At 38.6% G+C, this 27,867-nt stretch overlaps 2 protein-coding genes across 12 annotated transcripts in view, besides 3 other annotated features; one reads left to right on the forward strand and one right to left on the reverse strand.

Annotated features, from left to right (window-relative positions):
* Nucleotides 1-27,867, forward strand: part of DSE (dermatan sulfate epimerase) — a 190,691-nt gene that overhangs the window by 19,547 nt on the left and 143,277 nt on the right. For 5 of the 11 annotated variants that reach the window (NR_136524.2, NR_136523.2, NR_136522.2 and 2 more), the window contains exon 1: nucleotides 6,369-6,543. The exons of the other annotated variants lie outside the window; for them this stretch is intronic. The gene's annotated coding sequence lies outside the window, so the exon portion shown is untranslated. Of the gene's footprint in view, nucleotides 1-6,368; nucleotides 6,544-27,867 lie in introns of those variants that run through there. 11 annotated transcript variants of the gene reach the window in all.
* TSPYL1 (TSPY like 1) lies at nucleotides 1,141-6,213 on the reverse strand. Its single transcript, NM_003309.4, has one exon. The coding sequence runs from the start codon at nucleotides 6,111-6,113 to the stop codon at nucleotides 4,800-4,802; it is 1,314 nt and encodes a 437-aa protein (NP_003300.1). The 5' UTR covers nucleotides 6,114-6,213; the 3' UTR covers nucleotides 1,141-4,799.
* Nucleotides 5,577-5,626: an enhancer, noted in NCBI's record as "active region_24983". NCBI's record gives its function as "activates an Ori minimal core promoter by ATAC-STARR-seq in GM12878 lymphoblastoid cells {active_cell/tissue: GM12878}" and the evidence as "EXISTENCE:reporter gene assay evidence [ECO:0000049][PMID:35858748]".
* Nucleotides 5,647-5,916: an enhancer, noted in NCBI's record as "active region_24984". NCBI's record gives its function as "activates an Ori minimal core promoter by ATAC-STARR-seq in GM12878 lymphoblastoid cells {active_cell/tissue: GM12878}" and the evidence as "EXISTENCE:reporter gene assay evidence [ECO:0000049][PMID:35858748]".
* Nucleotides 6,147-6,206: an enhancer, noted in NCBI's record as "active region_24985". NCBI's record gives its function as "activates an Ori minimal core promoter by ATAC-STARR-seq in GM12878 lymphoblastoid cells {active_cell/tissue: GM12878}" and the evidence as "EXISTENCE:reporter gene assay evidence [ECO:0000049][PMID:35858748]".

The following is a 27,867-nucleotide window of genomic DNA, read 5'->3' on the forward strand; positions in this document are numbered from 1 at the left end:
AAGGGCAAAGACAACCTTTACTATCCCATTCAATCCTTACTTATGCTAGTATTCAATAAACAACTACTGCAAGATTACAATTACAGACCACTAATTTTCAAAAAGTATGTTTTTTTGTTTTTTTTTTTTTTTGAGACGAAGTCTCTCTTGTCCCCAGGCTGGAGTGCCATGGCTCAATCTTGGCTCACTGCAGCCTCCACCTCTTGGGTTCAAGCGATTCTCCTGCCTCAGCCTCCCGAGTAGCTGGAATTACAGGCGCCTGCCACCACACCCAGCTAATTTTTGTAATTTTAGTAGAGACGGGGTTTCACCATGTTGGCCAGGCTGGTCTCGAACTCCTGACCTCAGGTGATCCAGCCGCCTCGGCCTCCCAAAGTGCTGGGATTTCAGGCGTGAGCCACCCTGCCCGGCTGCTTTTTCAAGTAGTACGCGTTCATTGAACTGACTTAATGCAGAGCTAGACTCAGATATTTTCCTTTTCTGTTGCTAGCCAACTGTTAAAATACGACTGAAAATATTTTCTGAACATCATGTACATTTGTAAACTAAAAATAGAGCATTTGGCCGGGCACAGTGGCTCACGCCTGTAATCCCAGCATTTTGGGAGGCCGAGGCAGGCACATCGCCTGAGGTCGGGAGTTTGAGACCAGCGTGACCAACATGGAGAAACCCCATCTCTCTACCAAAAACACAAAATTAGCCGGGCGTGGTGGCGCATGCCTATAATCCCAGCTACTGGGGAGGCTGAGGCAGGAGAATCGCTTGAACCCAGGAGGCAGAGGTTGCGGTGAGCGGAAGCTTGCCATGAGCCGAGATGGTGCCATTGCACTCCAGCCTGAGCAACAAGAGCAAAACTCTGTCTCAAAAAAAAAAAAAAGAGCATTTTACTTTAGAAAATATGCATATATTGGTCTTAAAAGTCACTAAAAATTAAACCAATATAACTGTGTCAATTTGGCATCAAAATCTACCCTGCCTATATCAAGAAAGTGTTGCACAGTACATTTTGCAAAATATTCAGTGCATCTTAAGTACTCAAGAACAGTTCATTAAAGAAATTTTACTCACCTTCTTTTTACCCATTGGCCTTGAATTTAAGCAAGATAACCCTTATCTTAGTCACAAGAAGCTTCAGGAGGAGAAAGTATTAACATGTTTAATTTTTACAGATATTTTATATGCTTTCAGATATTCCTCAGGAAGTCGAGACATGCTGTCCTATGTAATTTTAGATTTACTAGTAGCCACATTAAACAATGGCAAAATGAGGATAATTAATTTTTCAATATATTTTAACACAATGTCAAAAATATTTCAACATGCAATCAATATGAAAAAAATTGAGATATTTTAACATTTTTCTTTCCATACTGAGTCTTCAAAATCCAGTGTGAATTTTATATTTATAGATCTCAATTCAGACTAGCCACATTTCAAGTGCTCAATAGCCACTGGTGGCTAAAAGTTACTGTATTGGACAACACACATCTAGAGTCTAACCCCCTTCTATCTCCAGTATAATCACCTTAAAATGTACAAAGTATATAAAAGGTAACCCAAAATTAAGTAGTGCTCTGTTAAAATGCAAGTGAAAGATTTAATGTTGAAAGTGTTTAGACGTTTTCTAATGACTAAAAGGGGAAATAGTTATTTAGGAATGGCATTGCAAATCTTTTTGACATTTTCCCATTTGCTCATTAAATCTTTCTGAGAACTAGGTTATTTTGTTCTTTTTCCTCCATCTGAGTTTTGTCATTCAATATTTATCTGCTGACAACTATGCAAAACATTATGCTAGATGGGCTGGGTGCGGTGGCTCACGCCTGTAATCCCAGCACTTTGGGAGGCTGAGGTGGGCTGATCACGAGGTCAGGAGATGGAGACCATCCTGGCTAACATGGTGAAACCCCATCTCTACTAAAAATACAAAAAATTAGCCGGGCGTGGTAGCACGTGCCTGTAGTCCCAGCTACTCGGGAGGCTGATGCTGGAGAACTGCTTGAAACCGGGAGGCGGAAGTTGCAGTGAGCCGAGATCGCGCCACTTGCGCTCCAGCCTGGGCAAGAGTGGGACTCTATCTCAAAAAAAAAAAAAAAAAATGCTAGATGCAATGAACCATGTAAAATGCACTGCATCTCCACTTTCACAAAGTTTCCAAACTACTGAGAGGAAAAGAGTGAACATGGGAAAAACATGAAAATATAATCTCTGTATTTTATTTTACTGTATCACTCTGTTAATTCTTTGTTTGCTTATCAGTCCTTCCCCAGTTCCCCAAAGAAGGGAATGGACTTTATCTTCTTACTCTTTTTCTCTATTTGTGGAATTCACTGTAATGAATAATTATGTTAATTTTCTAGAACAGAGGTCCCTCCAAAGTACACTAAGTGCATAAAGAAACATTTATCTCCTCTATGGGGAACAGAAAGACTTTGGCAGAGGAATTACCAAGGGCAGGCCTTGAAGGATTTGACAGAAGAGAACAGTGAGGAAGTTTAAAGAAAAAAAGGAAGTTTTTACAGATGAGAAAGTATGAAAATAGAGGAGTACATCACATATGATAGGTACTCCCTGCATACAAGTTAATAAAAAGAAGAGCCTGAATAACCTGAGAATATAATTTATGGAGACAGAAATGGAGGATTTGAGCAACTGAAGGGGAGGTTGTGCTGCATAAACTACATGGAAAAAAGTGATTGAGTAAGCAGTTGCAACTGCTAACGTTTTAAGGCAAACTACCTTGGAAGGTACCAAACATACCGTGCCCTGCTTTCTTCTCTTTGGGATAATGTCTATTGTGTCCATTTAAGGACTTTAATGATTCTGTAATTTTTAGTTAACATCAATTTAAGGACTTTAATGATTTTAATCCATTAAGAACTTTAATGATTTTAATCCATTAAGAACTTTAATGGATTAAAGGACTTTAATGATTCCATAATTTTTAATTAATATGAACAACTTCATTCAAGCATTACATTTATGGGTAAGGTGAAAAATAAGAAATCTAGCAGAACAACATGCTTTTATTTTACCATCATGCATAAAAAGGAAGACAAATATGCCAATGGTACACTTCCAATTTGTCAGAGCAATTTCACAGTATTTAAGCAATTTAGGAAAAAAGATATATCACTTACTAAGTTGTTACCAGGGAAAATTATCATGTAAGACAATCAATTAAACCATACTTTTGTAGATTATTTTTCCATGAAGGCAATTTGACAAGCCTAACAAAGACCAAGTTGTTCAAACTATGTTTCTAGGAATATAGTTTAACAGAAACAAGAACAAGTTGAAAACTGTTATGACTATTCATATGTCTCTATATTGTACAGGCAAGTAAGACTGTTGTTCTTCCAAATGTTCCCAATTGAAATCAAAAGAATATCTGTACAGCTCAATTTTCACAATAAGTTTAGAATCAGAAAAAAAAATTTTACTAAATCCTAATGAAATAACAATCTTCCACATAAATTAGGTCACAAAACAAGTAAGAAAGCATTCAAAGTTGCGCTGTCTTTCTTTAAAGAACCCTTGTCTAGGCAACATATTTAACACTTTAACCCCTTCAATTCTCCCTGAAAAGTATTTTTCCATTCATCATCATTGGGGAGTAAGTACTCCTTCCTCGAAAGCTCTTAACGACAGCACAGTCTTCACTCTAGGCCCAATTTTTACCTGGCCCATGCCTCTAGCCTTTTGTTCAGTTTCTCCTGCTTAGGGCACCTTTCATCCCATCTAGATGTGTCTCTCTTTAACTATTCTAGGAGTTGATAAAAGGGCTAGGAAGTAGGAAGTTGGGAAGAAGGGGAGGGGCGTAAGAGCTCTAGCACTCTATTTTACAGGCCAACTTCTTTGCCTCTGAAAATGACAGAGCCAAAATGAAATAAAAACCTTGCTTTTACAAATGTTTCTGAGCTATCACTTTTTTAAGAGAGGATTGGGAGGCTAAGGAGGGCGGATCACGAGATCGGGGTTCGAGACCAGCCTGGCCAGCATGGTGAAACCCCGTCTCTACTAAAAATATAAAAATTAGCCGGGCGTGGCGGCGCGCGCCTGTAGTCCCAGCTACTCGGGAGGCTGAGGCAGGAGAATCGCTTGAACCCGGGAGGTGGAGGTTGCAGTGAGCCGAGATCGCGCCACTGCACTCCAACCTGGGCGACAGAGCAAGACTCCGTCCTCCGTCTCAAAAAAAAAAAAAAAAAAAAAAAAAAGGAAAACAGGGAGAGAGAGGGACCTTGGCAGGAGCCAATGTAGGGCAGGTAGCAATAGAAAGTGACTAGAGGTGAAGGAAGAGCAATGAAGTACCATAAATCACACAGAACAAGTGGCTCACTGCTTTTCTCCTCTGAGTTCATTAACGTCCAGTAACTGTCCACAGGGCATGTGCCCATACTGCTCAATGCAGAGCTGAGTAGGTGGAACAGGCTCCCAAAGCTAGAAATCCAAGTGACAGCAACCAGTTCAGAGGCCCTGGGAATAAACAGGGTCCAAGCAGTGCAGATAAAGGCAGTACAATCTACAGTATCATTTGCTTGGCTTACAAGTAGTGTGAAGGATGACCTCGTAGCATGTGATATTCCAGAACAGCATGAAGGTCATATGGAAGTGGAGAAGCATACCCACCACCGTCTCAATCTTGAGGTTGAGAGAACTGAATATCCAAAGGAAACAGGGTGCAGAAAAGTCAGCAAAAACAAAGCACAATAGAAGGCATACTCATTGCTGATGCCCAAGCACAGGTCCAGCAGAAGGTGGTAGGAGACCTTGTGCAGGAGTATTCCCAAGGGCAAATGTTAACCAGACTGGAACCCAAAGGGCCTGGGGATCTCTACAGGCTCCCTTAGCGGGCGACGTCGGGCTCTACGGACTCCTTCACGCAACAGGTAGTATTGCAGTGGATTTGGCCACAGATCCTCTTTAATAATCTCAGCAATTTTGTCGGACTCTGGAAGGCTGTGGTCTGAAAACCAAGTGAAGAAGCTGCAGATGAGGTCTTGGTTTCTGCGAATGAAGGACTGGGGTTCATGCCCCCTGCGCCATATAATTGGAGTAGAAAGAGACACCACTCGGCCGGAGGATCTTACCTCATATTCCTTGACAATCAGCTTGTTTCTGAAGTAGGGGTTTCTTCTAAAGAAGAACTTGAACTTGCAACCGGTTCTAGGGTGTCTGAGTTCCTTCACCTCTAAATTGGTTATGTACCTTAACATCTCTGCATCTTGGCCCCTAATCATGGCGGACAACTGGGGGTGGTTTCGAAAAGCAGTCATCCAGAAGCCCGGGATATTCTGAATGATGTAGTTCCTCCGCTCCAGGTAGTGTCGACGCATCCGCCCAAACTTGTGCTCCAGCTGTTGGAAGGCCCTGTCGGCCTGAGCATTCACAGTGTCCAGTTCCAGCTGGATGGCCTCCAGAGGGTCCATGCGGAGAGCCTCATGCAAAGGCCAGGGCCCTTCTTCCTCCCTCGCCTCCTCCTCCAATCTATCCTCCTCCGCCACTTCTATTTCTTCACCTTCTGGCGGCTGCTCCTCTACCTCCATCTGCTCCTCCATTACCTCCTTCTCCGCCAGGCCTTCCTTCACCACCTCAGCGCTCTCCCTCTCAGCCACGGCTGCTGAGACGGTGGCGCACTTTCCTGTCTTCACCTCCTCCGCCTCAGCCTCCGCCCCCGCCGTCAGCTCAGACGCGGATCTCTGGGCGCCACAGATTTCTAGGGCCTTCTCTCCACCCTGAACGCCCTTTTTCAGGCTGCGGTCGGCTGCCATCACCACAGAAGCGGCTGCCAGGCCTTCGGCGGGAGGCTGGCCCTCTTCCTGCCCGGCTTTGATCGCCACATGACCGCGACCCCCAACAACTCGGATCTGGGGAGTACCGCCACGGCCCGCGGCATCCTGGGGTACGCCCCCCTCCTCTGAAGGCGGTGGAGGCGGGAGCGCGACGGTCTCCGAGCCTCCCTCACCCGGCTCCGCCATCACCTGTGTCGCCTCGCTTTGGTCGCGGAGCCTCAGGTACTGGTGTGCGTCCTGGTCGCTCGGGACTTGGTCAGAAATAATGATGCTGTGGGTTTGGAGGGGAGTGGTCCTCTTGACCCCATCCAGGCCGCTCATGTTGCTAACAGTCGGACCAACCGCAGGCGAACGCCCGTTTTCCTCAGAGGCCGAACTGGGAGCTAACCGCCGCTCGCACCGCCCACCCTACAGTCTCACTAACATTTCAGCGGCGGTGTCGTCAGGACTGGAGATCTCACGGTATCGCGAGAACTTGCTGAGCCCGGGATTGGTTCCGCCGCTCCCTGCCAGCCAACCGGATTCTCTGGGCTTTATTTCTGTGAATTTACCCATAGCAACAGTAATTTTACCTACGTAAATAAATGTCGATTGTGCTGAGTCTGGAAGCGCGGACGACCCACCTTGAGATGCATCTAGCGACTGCTCCCAGCATGTAGGAGCAGTTGTAAAATCACAGCCGTAACAGTGCCTGCTCTCCAGTGTCTGAAAACAAATGTTTTTCTGGTCTTCACTTTTTTGAGGCAGGAAGGTAAATCTATTCCCTGTTACTCCACGTAACTAGCAGCAAAAGACTTCTCTTTAAGATTAATAGCAAAATGTTTCCCCCCTTCTTAGTAAAAGTGACATAAAAATATCAATTCTTGCCTCTACGGTTACTGGGGAAAAAAAGCTACTCAGCAGCCTCTTACCACTAAAGCGATGCATAGTATTCATTGCTAATTTTCGATTTATAATCTGCATCAAATAAGAGTTTGTGCTGCATAGTATCGGTAGAAATTAAGCCAGGATCAGTTTGCTAAATGTTCCATGCCTTTTCACTGCAAGAAAGAGGAAATTATAACTATTTCCAGCCCCAAGAACTTAATTTATTATCATATTTAGTTATGTAAGATAGGAATGTTTGGCTCTAACGAAGCATCTGTCTTTAGCAATCAGCTGAGTTCATTAGAGGGGGATGTCAATGTCTCTGGTTGAAGTGTTCCAGTTTGTTGACTTGTGAGTTAAACTGGTGCTGTCTTAGAGAGCTACAAGGCCTCAGAGAAATATCAGTGGGGGGAGCCACATACCACCATTTTGTGAGGAAAGGCTAGTTAAAATGGACAACTAAGATGGCCTTGAAGTAGAAAACAAACTTGCAAAGGGCAACATGCAGCTGGTGGACTCAAGGTATAAAAGAGGCAAACGTTATTTTCTACTTAATTTGCTTTGTGTGGTAGTAGCCTGATGGCCCTCAAAGATGTACCTGTCTTAGTTATGCGGCCAAAGGGACTTCGCAGATATGATTAAGTTAAAGATTTGGAGATGAGAAGATGATTCTGGATTATACAGGTGGGCCCTATGGAATTACAAATTTCTTATAAGAAGGAGGCAGGAGGGTCAGTCAGAGAAGATAAGAGGACGAAAGCACAGAGAGAGGGAAGGAATGGTGGAGAATAGGTGTGGGAGGGAGGAAAGGGAAATCGCTATGTTGCTGGCTTTGAAGATGGAGGAAGGAGCCAGGATCGTAGGAATAAAGGCAGCCTCTAGAAGCTTGAAAGGTAAGGAAATAGATTCAATCCTAGAGCCTCCAAAGGAATGACAACACCTTGAGGTTATTACCTCTAAACTCCAGCACTATAAGAAAATAAATTTGTGCATTTTAAGCTATTAAATTTGTGGTAATTTGTTACAGAAGCAATATGAAATGAATACACCTTGGATTAAGGTTTGGTTGCATCTATGGGTGCCTCAAGTTGTTTCTAATAGCAGCCCCTTCTACCTTGCTCATGGCTTCCCGTGAGTTCCTGCCCAACAGCTGTGATGTATTACAGCTTGAATCTGTCTTTCAATATCAAGACCAGAAATATACTTAGGCAAATGCACAGAAAGACAAAATTAAAGCCTAAACATACCACAAACGATATCTGAGGAGACTGTAAACTGCAAGAGGACATGATCATGGTTTCGTTTCCCTCTGTTTATCGAGTGCCTAGCACACTACCTTACACAGTATCCCATAGATTATTAAAATGTTAAATAAAGGAGCAAATGAGCAGAAAACAGTTTCTCTTGCTTGCAACTTGCTCCTTGCGGAAGAGAAGTAAGGGGCATATGGGTTGTCACTCTGCTCTCCTTCCTATCTGCCACTGGCAAACCAGAGGGCTGCTCTATTCTATATAGTAACAGTTTCCTACTCAGGAGAATGAATTTCTATATATGTTTCAAAGGCTCTAAAAGGATAGGAAAAACACAGAGAAAACAATTTTATTTTACAAATAATTTAAGTTTGTGTGGTCACACTGTATGACAAACGAACTCTGAAAAGACCAGCATATTTAGGTGAGTTTACATATCAAAGCCTCGGACTACCAGCACTGTATTTCCAATTCTCTCCTTTCTGAAAAAGTCAAGGTAATCATTTCAGGCTTTACTTCGTTTCTGTCTACAGAAATATATAATGCATTTCTCTCTACAAGTGATGGAGCCTGTGATGCATGGCTGGAATTACTTTTGGTGTAAATAAAAAGGAATATTGGAACTTTCCACAAAGACTGTTTCTAATTGCCATGAAATCATCTTCTATTTTGAACTGGTATAATTTCATTCGGCCTAAAGTGGAAACTTCTATTATTCCAATATGTCTCCTATTTTTTTTTAAGCAGAAAGGAGTGTCAGGCTTGGACCAATCTTAGAATATATGGCTTTATTTGTCAAAGAAGCCATTATGTAATTAATGTAATTAACACTCTTACCAGTAATGCTAGGAAAACTCTAATTAGGATCATGTAAGTATAATCAGGACTCTGCTGAATGTAATTTCCCCCAAATAACGTTGAGACTCTTTAAAGGAACTCTTCCTTCTCTTCTTGTCGAACATGTATAAAGCTGTGATAAGGAATATTTGAATATATAGAGAACGTGATTTAAAATTAGAAGTAATGTATCTCATGTTCTCTGTGTATTAGAAGAAAATTACATTAGAGAAGTGATTGTGATTATAACTATTCCTTGTAGGTGATGGAAAGCTCAGGTTATGATTGCTTTCGGACAAGTGCTCAGGAGAAGGGTCAGTAAAGGGCAAGGATTTTAGAGGGAAAAGCAAATATGCATACTTTATGTCCTATTTTTTTTTAAAGAAAGAATCTTTGCTTGGAAGGAGGAACTCTCTAGGAATGTCAACATGCACCAAGGCTCACGTGCTCAGGGAGTTATTTTGCCATACAGGCAAAGCTGTGGTTGCTATTCAACACAGAATATTGTACTTATTATAGTAGGACTATTACTTGTGGATTTTTTGTTCACCTTTTTGTATCTAAAAAGGCTTAAAAAGGATACCTGTTTCTTTTACATGACACAGGTTATCCTGCTATCTGGGAATTCTCTTTCTGGGTAGATGTTACACATTCTCTAAGACTTACCAAAAACCTGTCTTGCTTTAAAATGTGCTAGGCATTTTACATGCATTAAAGTGTCAAATTTCATAAAAGAGGAAACAGTAACACTGAGAGGCTAACTAACTTTACCAAAGTCATACATAAAGTAACTGGTAAATTCTTTCTCCCTTCTCCTGAGTGCATCTTTCCTAAGTAGCCTATGGCTCCTTAATCTTCCTCACCTGAATTCCTGCAACTCTTTTATGAGCTGCACCATGCAGTTTAGCACTTAATTGTGCTTCTCCTCTTAGGGACTAGTTGATTTATATGTGTCAGTCTCATCATCCCAGCATTCCAGCATCATCTCATGGGATGGGAGCATAGTTGCAGCTTCTTTTGCATTTATTCATCATAGCATGGGGCTCAGGTTTGGGTAGATTCTTTGTTGTTGTTGTTGTTGTTGTTGTTGTTGTTGTTGTTATGGAGTCTCACTCTGTCGCCCAGGCTGGAGTGCAGTGGCATGATCTTGGCTCACTGCAACCTCTGCCTCCCAGGTTCAAGCAATTCTCCTGCCTCAGCCTCCCGTGTAGCTGGGACTACAGACACTGGCCACCACACACGGCTAATTTTTGTATTTTTAGTAGAGAAGGGGTTTCCCCACGTTGGTCAGGCTGGTCTCGAATTCCCGACCTCAGGTGATCCGCCCGCCTCAGCCTCCCAAAGTGCTGGGATTACAGGCATGAGCCACTGCGCCCGGCTAGATTTGGGTAGATTCTTAACAATATTTGTTCATTTGAATAAAATAAACCTCAAATTATCTTACAAAAACAACAGTGTATCTGTACTGGCATATTTTATTTGCAGAGGAAATACATTTTGGCTATGCTTCATATATCACCTTTTTTGCACTTTAAAATATAGGATAAATTGGTCCATGACAGAGCATTTCTGTAATTGACAATAAACTTCACTACCCCCAAAGATAGTTGAATCTTTTCTAATACAGTTCTATGGGAAAACATCTGCAAAAAACCCTGAGGTTTTTCTCCATAATATCAAGGAATCATAGATTCTTTGGGAATGATTTCTCAGGTAGCAAGGAGTTTAGCGGAAGTTCAGACATTTTTGTTTTGCAGAAAGGTAGGTTTTATCATTATAATTAATGATAGCTTTCACTTATTTACTGCTCCTGATGTACCAGCCACTTTTATAAACAACATCCAGTGTGTCACATCTTTTAGTTGTCATAAGAACCCCATGAGGTAATTGCATTTATGACCTTCGTGTTACTCAATAGGAAACTGAGGCAAAGAGAGACTGTCACTTGGCCAAAATGGTACAGAAAGTAATAGACCCATGATTCGAACCCAGAAAGTTTGTCTCAAAAGCCTGTACTCTCTGAACAAGTGTGAACTCACTTTCTTTTTTTTATTATTATTATTATACTTTAAGTTCTAGGGTACATGTGCACAATGTGCAGGTTTGTTACATATGTATACTTGTGCCATGTTGGTGTGCTGCACCCATTAACTCGTCATTTACACATTAGGTATATCTCCTAATGCTATCCCTCCCCCCTCCCCCCTCCCCCAACCTCATGATAGGCCCCGGTGTGTGATGTTCCCCACCCTGTGTCCAAGTGTTCTCATTGTTCAATTCCCACCTATGAGTGATAATATGCAGTGTTTGGTTTTCTGTCCTTGCAATAGTTTGCTCAGAATGATGATTTCCAGCTTCATCCATGTCACTACAAAGGACATGACCTCATCCTTTTTTATGGCTGCACAGTATTCCATGGTGTATATGTGCCACGTTTACTTAATCCAGTCTATCATTGATGGACATTTGGGTTGGTTCCAAGTCTTTGCTATTGTGAATAATGCCGCAATAAACATACATGTGCATGTGTCTTTATAGCAGCATGATTTATAATCCTTTGGGTATATACCCAGTAATGGGATGGCTGGGTCAAATGGTATTTCTAGTTCTAGATCCCTGAGGACTCGCCACACTGACTTCCACAATGGTTGAACTACTTTAGAGTCCCACCAACAGTGTAAAAGTGTTCCTATTTCTCCACATCGTCTCCAGCACCTGTTGTTTGCTGACTTTTTAATGATCGCCATTCTAACTGGTATGAGATGGTATCTCATTGTGGTTTTGATTTGCATTTCTCTGATGGCCAGTGATGATGAGCATTTTTTCATGTGTCTGTAGGCTGTATAAATGTCTTCTTTTGAGAAGTGACTGTTCATATCCCTCGCCCACTTTTTGATGGGGTTGTTTGATTTTTTCTTGTAAATTTGTTTAAGTTCTTTGTAGATTCTGGATACTAGCCCTTTGTCAGATGGGTAGATTGTAAAAATTTTCTCCCATTCTGTAGGTTGCCTATTCACTCTGATGGTAGTTTCTTTTGCTGTGTAGAAGTTCTTTAGTTTAATTAGATCCCATTTGTCAGTTTTGGCTTTTGTTGCCATTGCTTTTGGTGTTTTAGTCATGAAATCCTTGCCCATGCCTATGTCCTGAATGGTATTGCCTAGGTTTTCTTCTAGGGTTTTTGTGGTTTTAGGTCTAACATTTAAGTCTTTAATCCATCTTGAATTAATTTTTGTATGCGGTGTAAGGAAGGGATCCAATTTCAGCTTTCTACATATGGCTAGCCAGTTTTCCCAACACCAGTTATTCAATAGGGAATCCTTTTCCCATTTCTTGTTTTTCTCAGCTTTGTCAAAGATCAGATGGTTGTAGATGTGTGGTATTATTTCTGAGGGCTCTGTTCTGTTCCATTGGTCTATATCTCTGTTTTGGTACCAGTACCATGCTGTTTTGGTTACTGTAGCCTTGTAGTATAGTTTGAAGTCAGGTAGTGTGATGCCTCCAGCTTTGTTCTTTTTGCTTAGGATTGTCTTGGCAATGCGGGCTCTTTTTTGGTTCCATATGAACTTTAGAGGAGTTTTATCCAATTCTGTGAAGAAAGTCATTGGTAGCTTGATGGGGATAGCATTGAATCTATAAATTACCTTGGGCAGTATGGCCATTTTCAGGATATTGATTCTTTCTATCCATGAGCATGGAATGTTCTTCCATTTGTTTGTGTCCTCTTTTATTTCGTTGAGCAGTGGTTTGTAGTTCTCCTTGAAGAGGTCCTTCACATCCCTTGTAAGCTGGATTCCTAGGTATTTTATTCTCTTTGAAGCAATTGTGAATGGAAGGTGAACTCACTTTCTTAAAATGTGTAACCATCATTGATGTTAACTTGATACACAATTTTCTTCTCTCTTCCCTCTTTCCCCTATCCACAAGCATATTAATATAATATTTGTAAGGAAAGTACCCAATTATTTTCTTTCTTTTCAGAGGAGAAGCAGTTATTGATGATCCCCAAATTCAGTATTTTCTCAACTCTATCAGACTGAATGCCATCTTTTTATAACAGATATCTTCTAAAAGAGTCTTTACTTTCCTTAAATGAAATTTATAGATAATATAACCTGCCTACACAGGTAAATAGAAAAACATCAATATAATCACATCATAAAAGAGAAATAAAAGTAATTTATAATATTGTCTATTTTGATATGTAAGGACATTAACATTGCCTACACTGTAAGAAATAGCAAAGTGATTAGAAAGTTATACTTGTTGATATAATCACCATGGATGGAGACTGATATGGGTATGTTTTACCTGTGATTCAAATACCATGGTGATGAGGTTTTCTGAAATGGTGACCCAATCTTTGTTAAGTTCTATAAAAGAAAAAGGAAAAGCTCCCCTTGGTACATGTTACTGTATTTCTTCCATTATAGGAAATACATTTCACATTTCTTAAATCAGGATGTGTCTTACAAGCACTGTCAGCCATGTGTCAGTCATTGCATCATTACCATCATCACTGCCTGAGCATGTGTGTATCCGGTTATTGTTACCAATTTCTGGACAAACTAAAGATCATCTGAAGAAAGAATATGTGCTGTTTGTTGCCTTAAAACTTTCCATTAATCTCTTTGAAAGACTCAAAAAAGTACTGACATCAAAACTTACAATAATTTATGCCTGGCTTGAATTAAAACTCTTCTAGACAGAAGAGTTGAGCACTGTTCTAGGAAATATTGCATCATCAAAACACTTGATAGCAGAGAGGATAGTATTGCTTGGAAAAAAATATGGATATTGACACCTCTGAGCCAAACTTTCAGTAAATTTTGTGAATATGAAGTTTTATGAATACCTTAACAATTTATTTTGCTTTTCCCTTTCCTTTCATTTATTTCCAAGTATGATATTTTATTTCTGTCTAAAGCCTAAAAGAGTTCTTTTTAAAAACATAAAATAATTATGTATAAGAATGCATCATGTCATAGTTTAATTGGCAGTGTTTTTTCTCCTTGTCTTCCTTTCTTGGTGATACTTAAATAATACTTTGTTTTACAATTGATGTCTCAAATTAGATGAAATACCATAATTTCCTTCCTGGAAAGTTTATTGCACATTAAATCAGTGTAAACATGTTTAGTGTTTATATGTAAAATGTTAAATTCGAGGCTCAGATAAATATAAATAGGTTTTCCCTCTGGGAAGGAGAGCATTTTTTGTTGAGGGAGACTTCCCTTGGATAGTATGATATCTAGCATCCATGACACCACCTAATAAAAGTAGCAACTCTCATTTTTTGTAATTACTAAAATTCACATCTACAAACTTCCAAGACATCCTTAAGGAAGGTGCAGCTCCTGCTGAGATTGTCACTTTTAAATACTGCTAGGCATGTCATTCCTATTGATGCTCACTAGAGGGAGCAACTGGTCTTTAAGAAAGTGATGTATCTAGTCTCTGATGGAAGAACTATGGGATGGTCTTTCACTATAAATTAAATACTTTTTTATTTAAATTGAATCACAAACTTTTATTCCCACTAAGCTGTAATTGTTACAATGTATTTTTCTCAGACAAGTTTAGGTTTATTATGATGGCTCCAATACTCAAATTGTTTACGTATCTCATAGGAGCCTGCCTACAAAGTCCCTACGCAGTCATGAATCTGATTTCAAGTTACAGCTCTCCTACTCACTAGCTGTTTGACTGGAGCTAGTCATCTTTCTGAGCCACAATTTCCTCATAGGTAAAATGGAGATTATAATACATATTTCACAAGCCTATTATGAAAATGAAATAAGATATATATAAAGTGTACTATAAGCTTTCAATGAATAGAAGATGGTAATATTATTTGTATTATGCTAAAACTTAGGCATATTAAAGTTAGACTATTGTGCAAGGTATAATCTGGCACTAAATTTTCAATTTCCTGTACACAGCTAACTATATAGAATTTCAGAGAAGAATATAATCCCTGTGGATTAGAGTGGTCAGTGGAAGAAATGAGCCTTGACTTATATTCTGCTATGGGTGAGCATTGAATAGCTTGAGAAAGAAGTGGGGCGTGAGGACATAGTAACCATACTTGTCCACTGCTCCAGCTATTTCAACATGCATTCAAGACCTGCACTGTCCAATACTATAGGCACTAGCCATATGTGTCTATTTTGATTTAAATTAATTAAAATGAAGTAAAGTAAAAAATTCAGTTCATCAGTCACACTAATTACATTTCAAGTACTTATTAGCAACATCTGACTAGTGGCTGCTATATTGGATCTCATGCAACATTTCATCATGGCAAGAAGTTTGTTGGACAACATTATTCTAGACATACAGCATCTTCAAGTGGTGGAAAAAGGTGTAGTTGCTGGAACTAAAATGCCATACCACAGAGGTAGCAGGCACACATTTTATAAGAGTCTTAAGGGAAAAAAACACCTTTTGAAATTCATACTAGCAGCATTTTTGAGCAAAAATTTTGTGTGTTTATAATTGGGAGTATATAAGTAGAAGTACTTATCCACTGGCTCACATAACATAAAAAGGATAATCCAAATATTATGTTGCTTCACTATAAAACTTACATATTTAAAATAAGTTACAAAAATCTGAGCCATTACCCTTCAGAGAGAGGAATGAAGCTAAATGGGTCAAATTCAGGAAGTGTTAGTTGAAAAATATGTGTAATTAAATTAGTTATTTAAATAACCAATAAAATGTGTACTTGGTGGGACAAACCCCTACTGTATTTTTAGTAAGGTAAAATGGTAAGGTATAATAATTTAAAAGAAAATTTAAAAATAATGTACATGAAACAATGAAAATACTTGCATAGATTTTTTAAAGTCACTATGAATCATAGTGATTTGTTTGTTACTATACCAAAAATTCACAGTCAAGCCATTTAATAAACATGACTGTTATATGTGAAAGCATCTCAATATCCTAAGATTAAGCAATTTCATGCAAAGGAAATATTTCTGTGTATTTTTTAGGTAGTATTTAGATCTGCAGCTAAAACCCTTTAAACATTTTGTTAGTTGCCATTCATTTAAAACTCCAGAGCTCATGTATCATACAAAAATATCAGAAATTTCTTTTTTAAATGGAAATATAGTCCTAGGGTCAAAGAACCTTTTCAGAACAACTAGACCTTCATGATAAAAAAAATAAAAATAATAAAAAGTAAAGAAAACCAGCCCTCTTGTTTTAAAACAAAATTCATCAAGGTCATTTACTACTTTCCACATACAAATTGATTCAATATGAAAAGTTCATATTATGGTATCCAGCTTAATACTTTGGTTGTCATAACACTTCATCCATTAGCTGAGAACTCTGCCTTGTGAGTTCTTTGGCTCTGAGACTATATTATAACTTCACTGGGTTTGTAAGCAAGCCATTCTATGCACATCTGTTTTAAAAATGTGACAGGTTGATTTGAAAAATACCATATTTCATTCATCATCATAAATAGAAATATTTATATTTATTGAATATTTACTACATAATAGATACTGTGTTAAATGCTTTTCATATATTATTTAATTGCCTCACCCCTCCATTACATAGGTAGTATTCACCCTGTTGTGAAGATTAAGAAATCCCAGAGATATCAGGTGACTTGCCTAAAGTTACATGACTAATAAGTAATGGAGTATGGATATAAACCCAGTTTATTGGCTTCAAAGCTCTTTGTACTATGCCATGTTGCTTTTCTGATTTCTTGAAATCTTTGACAGTAACCGGGGAACTCAAGGGTTACTGCCACCTATTTTCTAATAACTTCGTTTTCTTGGATCTGTATCATTAGTGCCTAGCACCTAGAAGATTCTTAGGCAGTGTTGGCTGCATTGATTGAATGATTCCACACTGATGGCTAGCTTAAACAGCCATGGAAACTTTAATTATAATATATTAATCTAAACAGGACATATGGTTTTTAGGAGTTAAGTGCCCTCAGGGGAAGCATTTACTAAATGTGGGGCACATTTTAAAAGTAATATCTCCTGCTACTGCTGATATTTCTAAATTAACAGTATTTCTAGATTCTCAGACTTGGGGTTCAGAGATTTCACTTGCTGATTAATTAATTCAAGGATATAAGAGCTCTAGCAAATAAATATTTTATTAATTTGTACTGTTCTACACTCAGGAGCAATTATTGAAAATCAAGGTTTGTTATCAGGAAATACATGAAGTCTTATTTGGAAATAATTCCTTAAAACTCATCCTGAGAAGAGACAATCTGCATCCTTCCCACTTAGTATATCATCTACCCATTTGTGGTCTCTCATAATTGGAAATATTTCCCTAATTCCAAAAGCAGAAAGGAATCCTCTTAACTGCTAACTTCTCTCCCAAAGGGAGAAACTTTTTCCAGCCAACCTCAGTGAAATTGTTGATTGAATGCTGATCCTAGAACTGCATTATGAATGCAAAAAAGTAAACAAAGCACCCATTCTAAGTTTGCTCAATTTTCTGGCCACCACTGTGCTCTGCAATGTCATCTGTAGCACAGAAGATTGGAGGCGTAGACTTGAGACCAGACCACTTCGTCTGTTCTTTCCAAACTCTCTAAATTCAAAACATTTGTTGAGGTTTATGCAGGACACAAGAGTTGTGGGATGGCATACAAAAATCTGAAAGTCATGGACTTTGTTCATTAGGGACCACAGTGTTGTGGAGAAGATAGACACAGAAACACATAATTATAATACCAGATGAAACAAACAATTATAATACCAGATGATACCAATAATTATAATACTAGGAGAGTGTTGTTCCAGCAAGAGAGATGTGGACAAAGGGCTTTGGGTGCACAGAATAGGAAATTTGTATTCCTATATTGATAAGAGAGCTTGGTAAGAATTCAGAGGTGATAATTTTGAGATGAGTCCTAATAAGAAAAATAAAATTATAATAAGAGAGAGGGGGTGAAAATTCCAGGTTGACTAAAATACCCTGAACAAAGACTCAAATACAAGTAGAAGTCCAGCCAGCTTGAGGAAATGACTGAAAGATAGGGAGATTAGTTGGGGGTGATGGTTAGGTAAAATGGAATCTGATAGTTAAAGGCTTTTTATTATACATTATTATATGTTTATGATATATTAAATATAATTATATATATACATATTTGTTAATCCTATGGGTATTAGAGGATATTGGAGGCTTTTAAACAGGGGATTGACATGGACAGTGTCAGAAAATAATATTAATTGCCATATGGAAAATGATGTGAAGGTTATATGATTAAAGGCTGGGATATCAGTTGTGAAGTATTATAAAAATGCAGGCAAGGGTAGATGAGGATATCTTTAGGAATGTAGTAACTGACAACAGAATATGTCAGATAAATTGTAGAACCAATTGAAAAACTAGATATGAAAGTAGACAAGAAGTTAAGGAAGACTGATTTGTTTAGTTTGGGTAACAAGGATGGGTGGAAATGTGATTGAGTTATGGAATACAGGAAGAAGATCGGGTTGTAGTGGGAGGAGAGATCAACAGTTCAGCTACAGACAAGGAGAGTTTCATGTGACTCTAGGGAGATGTTGGGTATTTGTAGATCAGATAGATTTGGGTATTTGTAGAGCAGGAGAAGAGTGGGGTTTACAGTTAGACTTGGAAATCTTGAGTGTTTAGGTGATAGTTGACATCATCAGAGTGGACGAGAACACCAGGAAGACAAGTAGAGGAAGAAGAAAGGAAGGCCAAAAATAGAGCTCTGAGGAACACTGACGTGAAAGAAACAGATGAGGTGGCACAAGTAGAGGAAACTGAGAAATAGCCATTAGAGGTAGGGAAAGAACCAGAAGAGTGTTGTTTCAGTATGCAAGGGAAGAATGGACTTCAGGAAGCTAAGGTTCAAGGGATGCAGCCATATTGAGTGAGATGAAGACTGGGAAGAAAAGTTTCCGAATTGGGCGGCAGCTATACAGCATGGGTGTCTTTAGTGAGAGCAATTTCAGAAAAGTAGCAAGACAGAAAAATTGCAGAGTTGAAAAAATGAATGATAAATGAACATATAGATAGTGTGTGAGGCCAGTTCTTTCATAATTGTCAGTATAGAAAAGGGGAAAGACTGGATGACAAGTTCAAGGAGATGCAGGGTTGAGGGAAGAATGTTTGTAGGGAGCAGCATTGTTGGGAGCAGAGTAAGGATCTGATTATTACACTGAAGTGTTGAGGAAGCAAACAAACAAAAAAAAAGAAAACAAACTGAATGTCAGTAAGTAGAAGAAAGGTTGGATAAATTATGGCATGTTTATACAACTGAATATTACGTAACCTTTAAAAGGAATAAATTGGATCCAAAGTAGTGACCTGGAAAAGCATCCATGTTAATTAGAAAGATGTAAAAGAACATTGCAGACCAATAAGTATATGCTAATTATATTTTAATAAATATTAGCTGACACCCTTGTATCTATATAAATGCAAGAAATATTAAGAAAGGATGTGTACCCAGTTGCCAACAGTGGTGATCTCTGGGGGATGAGGATGGGAAGGGGACTTTAGCTTATTGCTTCTTAGAATTTTAAAGAGAGGTGGTGACATTAGGAATGACTTTTACACATTGGATTTAAAATATTTTTCAGACAAACATTAAAGAAAACCCTCTCATACAATGATGAGATAATTTAACTTTATATAATTAACTACAGAATTCAAAGAAGAAAATAACATAAACGAACACATTTGCTTTAATAAGTTATTGGGCTTGTATTTAAAGCTGAAGCAAAAACATTTGCTCAGATGTGATATTGAGTTCAAGGTGAATTAAAGGTTTTTCCTTTTCTTTTTTTCTTTTTTTTTTTTGACACGGAGTCTTGCTCTGTCACCAGACTCGAGTGCAGTGGCGTGATCTCAGCTCACTACAACCTCTGCCTCCCAGGTTCAAGCTATTCTCCTGCCTCAGACTCCCAAGTAATTGGGACTACAGGTGTGCTCCACCATGCCCAGCTAATTTTTGTACTTTTGGGAGAGACAGGGTTTCACCATGATGGTTTGTTTTTCTTAATTCTGGAAGATGAGGCCAATATTTGTTTGAAGAGTGATTTAAAATAGCTGAAATTCAGTCAAAAACTTAATTTACTGGGTTGTACCTCTTTATTATGAAGTATTGGTTGCTTTTAAAATGAGCTAGAGGCCAGACATGGTAGCTCACATCTATAATCTTAACACTTTCGGAGACAAAGGCAACAAGATTGCTTGAGCTCAGGAGTTCAAGATCAGCCTAGGAAACATAGCGAGACTTTGGCTGTACTAACAATAGAAAAATTAGTCAGGCATGGTGGTGTCTGGAGGCTGAACTGGGAGGATCACCTGAGCCAGGGAGATCAAGGCTGCAGTGAGCTATGATCACGCCACTGCACTCCAGCCTGGGTGACAGAATGAGACGTTGCCTCAAAAAGAAATAAAAAGAGCTAGAAGTGACCTTGGTGATCTATTTGGTAATATTTCTTTTGTCTAAAGTATGTTTTTAAAATATATATACAATTAGTAACTAGCTAATAGTTAATAAATATGTCTATTTTTAGAAAAATTTATTATTTTATTTTCTATTTTTGAGACAAGGTCTCACTCTGTCACCCAGGCTGGAGTGCAGTGGCATGATCACAGTTCTCTGCAGCCTCGACCTCCTGGGCTCAAGCAATCCTCCCACCTCAGCTTCCCAAGTAGCTAGGACTACAGGCATGTGCCACCATGCCAGTTAATTTTTTAATTTTTTGTAGAGATGAGGTCTTGCTATGCTGCCCAGGCTGGTCTTGAACTCCTGGGCTCAAGGGATCCTTTTGGTTCAGCCTCCCAAAGTGTTGGGATTATAGGAGTGAGCCACTGTGCCTGGCCAAAAATGATTTTATATGGAACACTTAGAAGCAGGGTGCTGGAATTAGCAAAAAACAGTTTTCAAGTTAAACGTAGTTTAGTAATCAGAATTGTATTGACAGTAACAGATTCATTGTAAAATAGAAATGCTCCTATATTCATACATTAGTTTAAGTAAGTTAAATAATCTGTAAACCAACTTTCTTGGATTGAATTCTGAGGTCAAGCCAGGTTAATAGAAGGGTCAGGGAAGATAGGAAAGCCATAAATATGGTTCTTAAAGCTTGTGGGCACAAGAACTCTTGGAATGAAGGTAGATAGGGGAAGTATTTGTAAAGGGAAGTGAGAAGATGTCAGGAAAGTCCTGCAAGTGGGTACCTGAATCATGGCATTACCAGTGGTTTAGCATATCAGAACCTCAGCCCAGAGTTTCACCATCTAGTCTCTGGTCCCATCCCGAAGCCAGAAAGAACATAAGGAAAAAGAGGAGATGTGAATAACAAGTCTCTCCTCCAATTTCCTCTCACCCCATCTTTATTACCAATTACCAGTGGAAAGCAAAATGATATATGCAGAACACCCCATCTCAAAGCCCTAAAGGTGGTTAAATGAGTAGACTACTCACCAACTCCTTACTGAGCACTTCCTATAGTAAGTATGATAAGTGATGAGGATTTAACGATAAAAGACACTGTTCATGCCCTCGAGAGACTGCCCACGGTGGGGTGGAGGGTGATTTGGAAATAAATCATACTGCAGTGTGAAAACAGGAATATTAGGTATATTCTACCAAGTACAAGCTGAACACAGAAAAAAAGACCTACTGATTGCTGTGGCGGTTGGAGGAGCTTCCTAGAAGAAGAAAGGACACTTGTGCTAGGACTTGAAGGCAGAAGAAAGGTGGGAGAGGAGAAGATGGGAGGAGATAGGTTCAGGGAACAGCCTAGGCAAAGGTGTGGAGGGTTGTGGGGAGAGAGCGGGAGAGTGGATGAGGAAGGAAGGCTTGAATGTGGCTTGGCTTATATTTGAAGGACTTTGAGACTCGCTGTGGAGTATTATGTTCTGCTGTGGTCATCCTATTAAACCCTGACTACATCCATTGATTTTTTTTCCTATTTAAAATTTCCTATTTAAAATATTTCCTTCCAAACATTTTTTAATTTCAAGGTCTTTATGTAAGATGAGATGTGATCCAACAACTATACTAGCCCACATGTGAAATGACAAGGCAGAAACCACAATACAGAAAATAAAATAAAACAGCCTTAATTTAAATATTTAAAGTAGAGCTGTCTAGATTTTCAGAAAGCAATAATGTGTCTCCTGGAAATTGACTGATATGTTTTTTGACACTGTTAGTTTCAGTTATTTTTCAAGGCATCACTAAACCCTGGAAGAGAACAGTCTTAATTTATAGTTTAAGTAGGTTTATTTAAGGGGAAAAAGAAAATTGCAAGATGTCATTTTATTTCCATTCCAAAAATAAGCATAACATTATCATAGAAGCCTCTTTGAAAGTAGAACTTCATTAATTGGGACTCCACTGAGGAAAATTTTTCCATAATCTCATCAGTTTTGCCTTTGCTTAGCAAACCATCATTTTATGATTATCATAAACCAATAATAAACTAGGCATATTGGAATTATATTTACAATATGAAAGACAGCACTTTTCATTCAACCTCATCAATCTTGGAAACCTATTTTTTCATTAAATAAATATTTCTGAAATCACTAAAATGTGCCTGGTGACATTCTACATACTGGGGATATATAGCTGTCCCTTGGTATCCAGGGGAATTGGTTCCAGTACCCCCTCAGATACCAAAATCCATGGATGCTGAAGTCCTTGATAGAAAATGATGTAGTATTTGTGTATAACCTACACACATCCTACCCTATACTTCAAATCATCTCTACATTATTCATCATATCTAATACAATGTAAATGATATGTAAACAATGTTATACTGTATTATTTTTTAATTTGTATTATTGTTTACTGTTACGTATTTTCTTGAAATATTTTCAATTCATGGTTGGTTAAATCTGTAGATGTAGAACCCTTGGATATGAAGGGTGGACTGTGGGGTTGAACAAGACATGCTAAATCCCTGCCTATTAGGAGTTTATATTTTGATGCGAGGAGAAAGATAATAAATATGAAAACATAAAAAGATAATTTGAAGGACCCAAGAAATGCTCTAAATAAAGTAATTTAAAAGTGTGACTGGGGCTAAGGTTTTGTGTGGAGGTGATATTTAAGTTAGACCTGAGTGGTGAGAAGGTGTCAGATGTAAAGATCCACTAGGAATTACATTATAAGTGGAATGAACAAAGGAGCAAAGACCCTGAGACAGGTTTAGTTAACAAAAAAGAAGAGTAGTGTGGCTGAGTAGTGAACATCCTTATTTTGGAAATGAGGTCAGAAAGATGAAGATGGTCAGATCATGTGAGGCTTTAAAGGCTATAAGGAAGCTGGATTTTATTCTAGTTACAATGAGAATCTGTTTGGATTTTTGGTAGGGTGAGGGTAGGGTGAATTTTTGGTAGAGTGAGAATCTGTTTGAATTTTTGGTAGGGTGGATTCGACATAATTGAATTCATGCTTTGGAAAAATCATTTGCGCTGTTTTGTGGGGATTGGGTAGGGAGGAAGAGTTGAGGCAGGAAAGCTGCTGAAGTAGTTGCTGCAGTGGTCCAGGGAAAGTGGCTTAAACTAGGGTTGTAGCTGTAGACACTGTGAGAAGTGGTAAGACTCAGAATATGATTTGGGTAGGCAAAGTATAGTGGAGATGTTGGTGCTCTGTCCATATCCCTTTGCATGCACTGTTTCAGTGTGTGCTGACGGCTTCCTACTGCCAGGCCAGAATGCTAGGGAATTGATACCCTAGGAGCCATCCTTAGCCAAAGTCAACCCTAGGAGCCGTCCTTAGCTAAAGTCAGATGGGAGTTGGAGGAGGAACATTCCAGCTTCCTCTCCTCTTGGGTGGAGAACAACTCCAATTCATGTTCTACACCATCTCTCAAAGGTCCCAGCGGGCCCCCATCAGTAACCTGCTCATCCTCACACTTTGTACTTGGTTTCCTTCCTTCCTTTCTCCTTTTCCTACCTCCACATGAGTGCCTCCTAGGATCACCTCCTAAAGAAGAAACTTACACTCTAATTCCTGACCCAACATCAGCTTCTAGGGAAATGCAATCTGAAACACTAATTTTAGTGAATTCTAAGTAATTAATTAGCAGGGGCTAAAATGAGGACCTATAATAGTTAGTGGTTTGGGATTATTTGATTTGTTAGACATACTACAAGAAGACAAAACTGCATTTCCACTTCAAATTCATTCTTTTATCTACTTCCAAGGTTCTGCTTATGAATCTTCTTAGGATAAATTATCTTGACCATTTTCAGCAAATTCACTTTTGTCAAACCAGGAAAAAGTGATTTCTAGAAAGAGGTGGCATTTCTCTAGCATCTCTTTGCCATGTTAGGGGATGTCTGCCATGGCAGTAGAGCTCTCTGGAGTTTAGTTGTGATCTATGATCACTAGGCTCTTAATAAAATCTTGTTAAACTATTGTTACCAGGATTTGGGTTAAAGGTTCAGACATAATGACTAACCATCATGGTTTGCCTGGGACTAGTGTTTTCCTGGCTTGGAAATTCATTGTTAAAACTGGCTAGTCTCAAGCAAACCAGGATTGTTGGACACCCTGTCAGAGTTTAGGCCCTGGGGTAAGAAATATTTGAGTTTTAATTCCTGAATTGTCATTTATTGACTTGGTGATTATAGTCAAATTGATTAACATTTCTGTGTCCTCATTGCTTATCTGTAGAGTTAATGCCAGTACCAAATCTATAAATCTGTTGTGAAGATTAAATGAGGCTATCCACATGTGGTAGGCAGAATAATGCCCTCCCCCCAGGAAAGATGTCCATGTTCTAGTCTTCATAACCTGTGAATATGCTGTTACATAGCAAGGGGGAATTAAGGTTGCAGGTGGAATTACGGTTTCTCATCAGCTGACCTTGAGATAGGGATATTGTCCTAGATTAGTCAAGTGAGCCCAATGTAATCACAAGTGTTCTTTAAAGTAAAAAAGGGAGGCAGAAGAGATCAGAGTGACACAGTGTGTGAAGAACTCAACCAGCCATTGTTAGTTTTGAAGACAGAGGACGGGGCCACTAGCCAAGGCATGTGGGCAGCATCTAGAAGCTAGAAAGGTCAAGGAAATGGATTACCCTCTAGAGGTTCCAGAAAGAAATGTAGCCCTTCTGATACCTTCAGTTTAACCCCATGAAACACATTTTAGACTTCTCATTTCCAGAACTGTAAGATAATAAATTTGTGCCCTTTAAAGTCACTACGTGTGTGATAATGTTTTACAGCAGCTATAGAAAACTCAACATATAAAGCATTAAACACATTATCTGACATATAGTGTTCATGTAATACTGTTAGCTAACTCAGCTCCAGTGTTGAAACTCACACAAAGCCTTTGACTTTTCTGCATTCTGATAGGTGGGACATGGAAAACGGAGCCATCCTCTTCTACACTAGCCATTCATTAACACAATTCTTAATAATTAACTCCTAAATAAAAAATCGTTTTGGATACCTCAGGCTAGATACATTATCTTGTTCTTTTGAACCCGTAGGCATTGTGTGCATATCTATGATGATACTTGTTTTACCTTGTTTCTAGCTATTTGTGATTTTACTTAACTCTCTTAGTTTAGAAACAAGTTGAACATGAAAACAATTTTTACTAACTTTTCTATTCTCAGGATGTTATCAATTTGCATAAAGTAGCCAATGTACATTAAATATTATTAAGTAATAAGTATGGGAAAAGAGGAAGTGAAAGCAAGCAGTTTTCTGATGTGACCTAGAAATTGCACAGTTGTGTCCACTCTCATGCCACTGGCAAAACTTGGTTTGCAAGAGAAACAGAGGGAAATTTGTCTCTAGTTAATGTAGTTTTGTGCTTACCTAAAATTTTGGGAAAAAAGAGAGGACTGAATGTTGAAGAACAATGAGCACTTTCTCTGTTTAATGGTTTTAAGAATAATTTGAGCCAATTAGAAGTTATCTATAATTAATTATGAGTTTAGAAAGCTATAAGGGAAGAAAGTGCCCCAAAGGTATGGTGAACTAGAAATGTAAATAAATTCTCATCCTGAAAGGCTTCTTGAATTATTTTTATATATATATATATATATATATATATATATATATATATATATATATACACATACACACACACACACACATACATATATATGTATGTATATGTGTGTGTATATGTATGTATGTAGGTAGGTAGGTATAGGTATAGATAAAGAGATAGAGATAGATGATGGACATTCCTCTGCACTCAACTTGTACCACATAGAATCTCTAAAGTTTGAACAATACTATTCACAACTTTTTATTTTGTCACCTAAGAGGCCAAGATAACTTTTTAGGGCACATCTTTAACAGTTATTAATGTTGAAATGGTTAATTCTACAGTGTACTGTGAATTGAAACTGAGAAAGTAAAATCAATATGGTCCAAAAGAATGTTACCTAACACATTTTACTATTTTCTGAGATTGCTGGTGTTTTGGCAGTGACTGGCTGTGGGCAAGGATAACATGCAACATTAGATGGAAATATAGTTGTGGAATTTTAATAAACTGTTGGTCTGCCAATTATTTGCTTTTATTCAAACCGTTTTTAAATTTGGCAGTTATTCATAAATCTCAGTCCAGAAAAACTGTCAACTTTTCTTAGGAAGATGTATATAGTAGTAAGAGAATAAAGAAAAGACAGACCTTCACATATTCCAGAAAGAGATTTTATTTTTGCCCCAACCTACTGAATTTGTACTTCCAGAGTTTGCCATAGTACTTTAGAACCCAAAGTTACAATTAGAGGAATAATAGGAACTAACAGAGTCATGTCCGAATAGTAAGTTTCAAATAGTACATTTTAGGTGATTGTTACTATTTCTTGGAATACTAAATAGTTCTGATGAGTACAATACTCATTTCCTTCCATATTTGAGTATTATTTTCATACAAATGCAAAAATGAAAGAAGAAAAGCCTCGCTTCAAATGCACAAGTTCCTTAAATTTCTGAATATATCATTTTATCCTGCTTGTTGATAAAATTCCACAGTATTGAAGAGCTGGGAATTTTTAGAATTCACAGGGACTATGCATAATATTTGGTAATGGCTTGATGTGCTTCATGACATATATTATCTTTCTCCTTCTGCTCAAGATCTACTTGGCATAATTATTTTCCTGACTTCTGCCTCAGGCAATCAAGTCTAATGGGGACATTTTTGGCCTTTTGCTAAGTTACCAGTGCTAGTGTCAAAGAACTATTGTCCTTCCCCCCTTTCTTTCACCCTTTGAATCTGAGTCCAAAATAAATGAATGGTAACAAGTTCTCTTCACTGCTTTTTAGTGTAAAGTTTCAGTTCAGGGAAAGTTCTGTTCAACAATGAATTCCAGCAGTGTTCCTAATGCCAGCAGGCAGCATAAAGGTCTCGGAGTGTGGAAGTAAGCCAGAATAAATTCTTCTCAATTTGAGTGAAGTCATTTATATATGATAACATATGATTATGATTCTTAATGCAAACTTCATGGCCATCTTAAGAGCTTAAATGATCAGTATTTATAGACAGCAAACTTAGGGGTGAAATCATCTTACTGTGTTTTTTATCCCAATAAGATATTATTCATATACAAAACATGGAAGAAGGTCCTAAGAGATAGAGAGTTCTTTGGTTGTAGCACAGTGGTTGGACTTCTGAGGTGGTCAGGGTGAAAGATTTTAGAGTGGTTATATGGACAGAGCAGTGAGGGAGGGAGGGAGGGAGAGAGAGAGAGAGAGATCCAGAGAGCACACAAACATAGGCATTCATGCACATGCAAGTGTACAACCTCCCTCGGGGCTTCTCCCTCAGAGGTGAAGGGCAGTGCTGAGGACCCATCTGGAAAGAGTTTTGTTTCTCTTCCTCGGAGATGATGGGGACTTCCTGAAAGCCTTGGCCTTACCCATGTGCAACTAGGCTGTATGATCCTCCCTACAGCAGGGAGGTTCCGTCTGCTCAGAGTCATGCTCCTTGGGTATCCTTCTGTATTATCTCTTCTATTAGATGTGTATGTGTCTTAAGAGGGAAGAACCATTTTATATTTTATTGATTCTTCCTACACTCACTCTTCATCTTCCAATGCCTTCTCCACACTACAGCCAGAGTGATCTGCTGAGTAGTATCTGATTATGTC

This window comes from Homo sapiens, chromosome 6 (genome assembly GCF_000001405.40).
Source record: "Homo sapiens chromosome 6, GRCh38.p14 Primary Assembly".
NCBI lineage: Eukaryota > Metazoa > Chordata > Mammalia > Primates > Hominidae > Homo > Homo sapiens.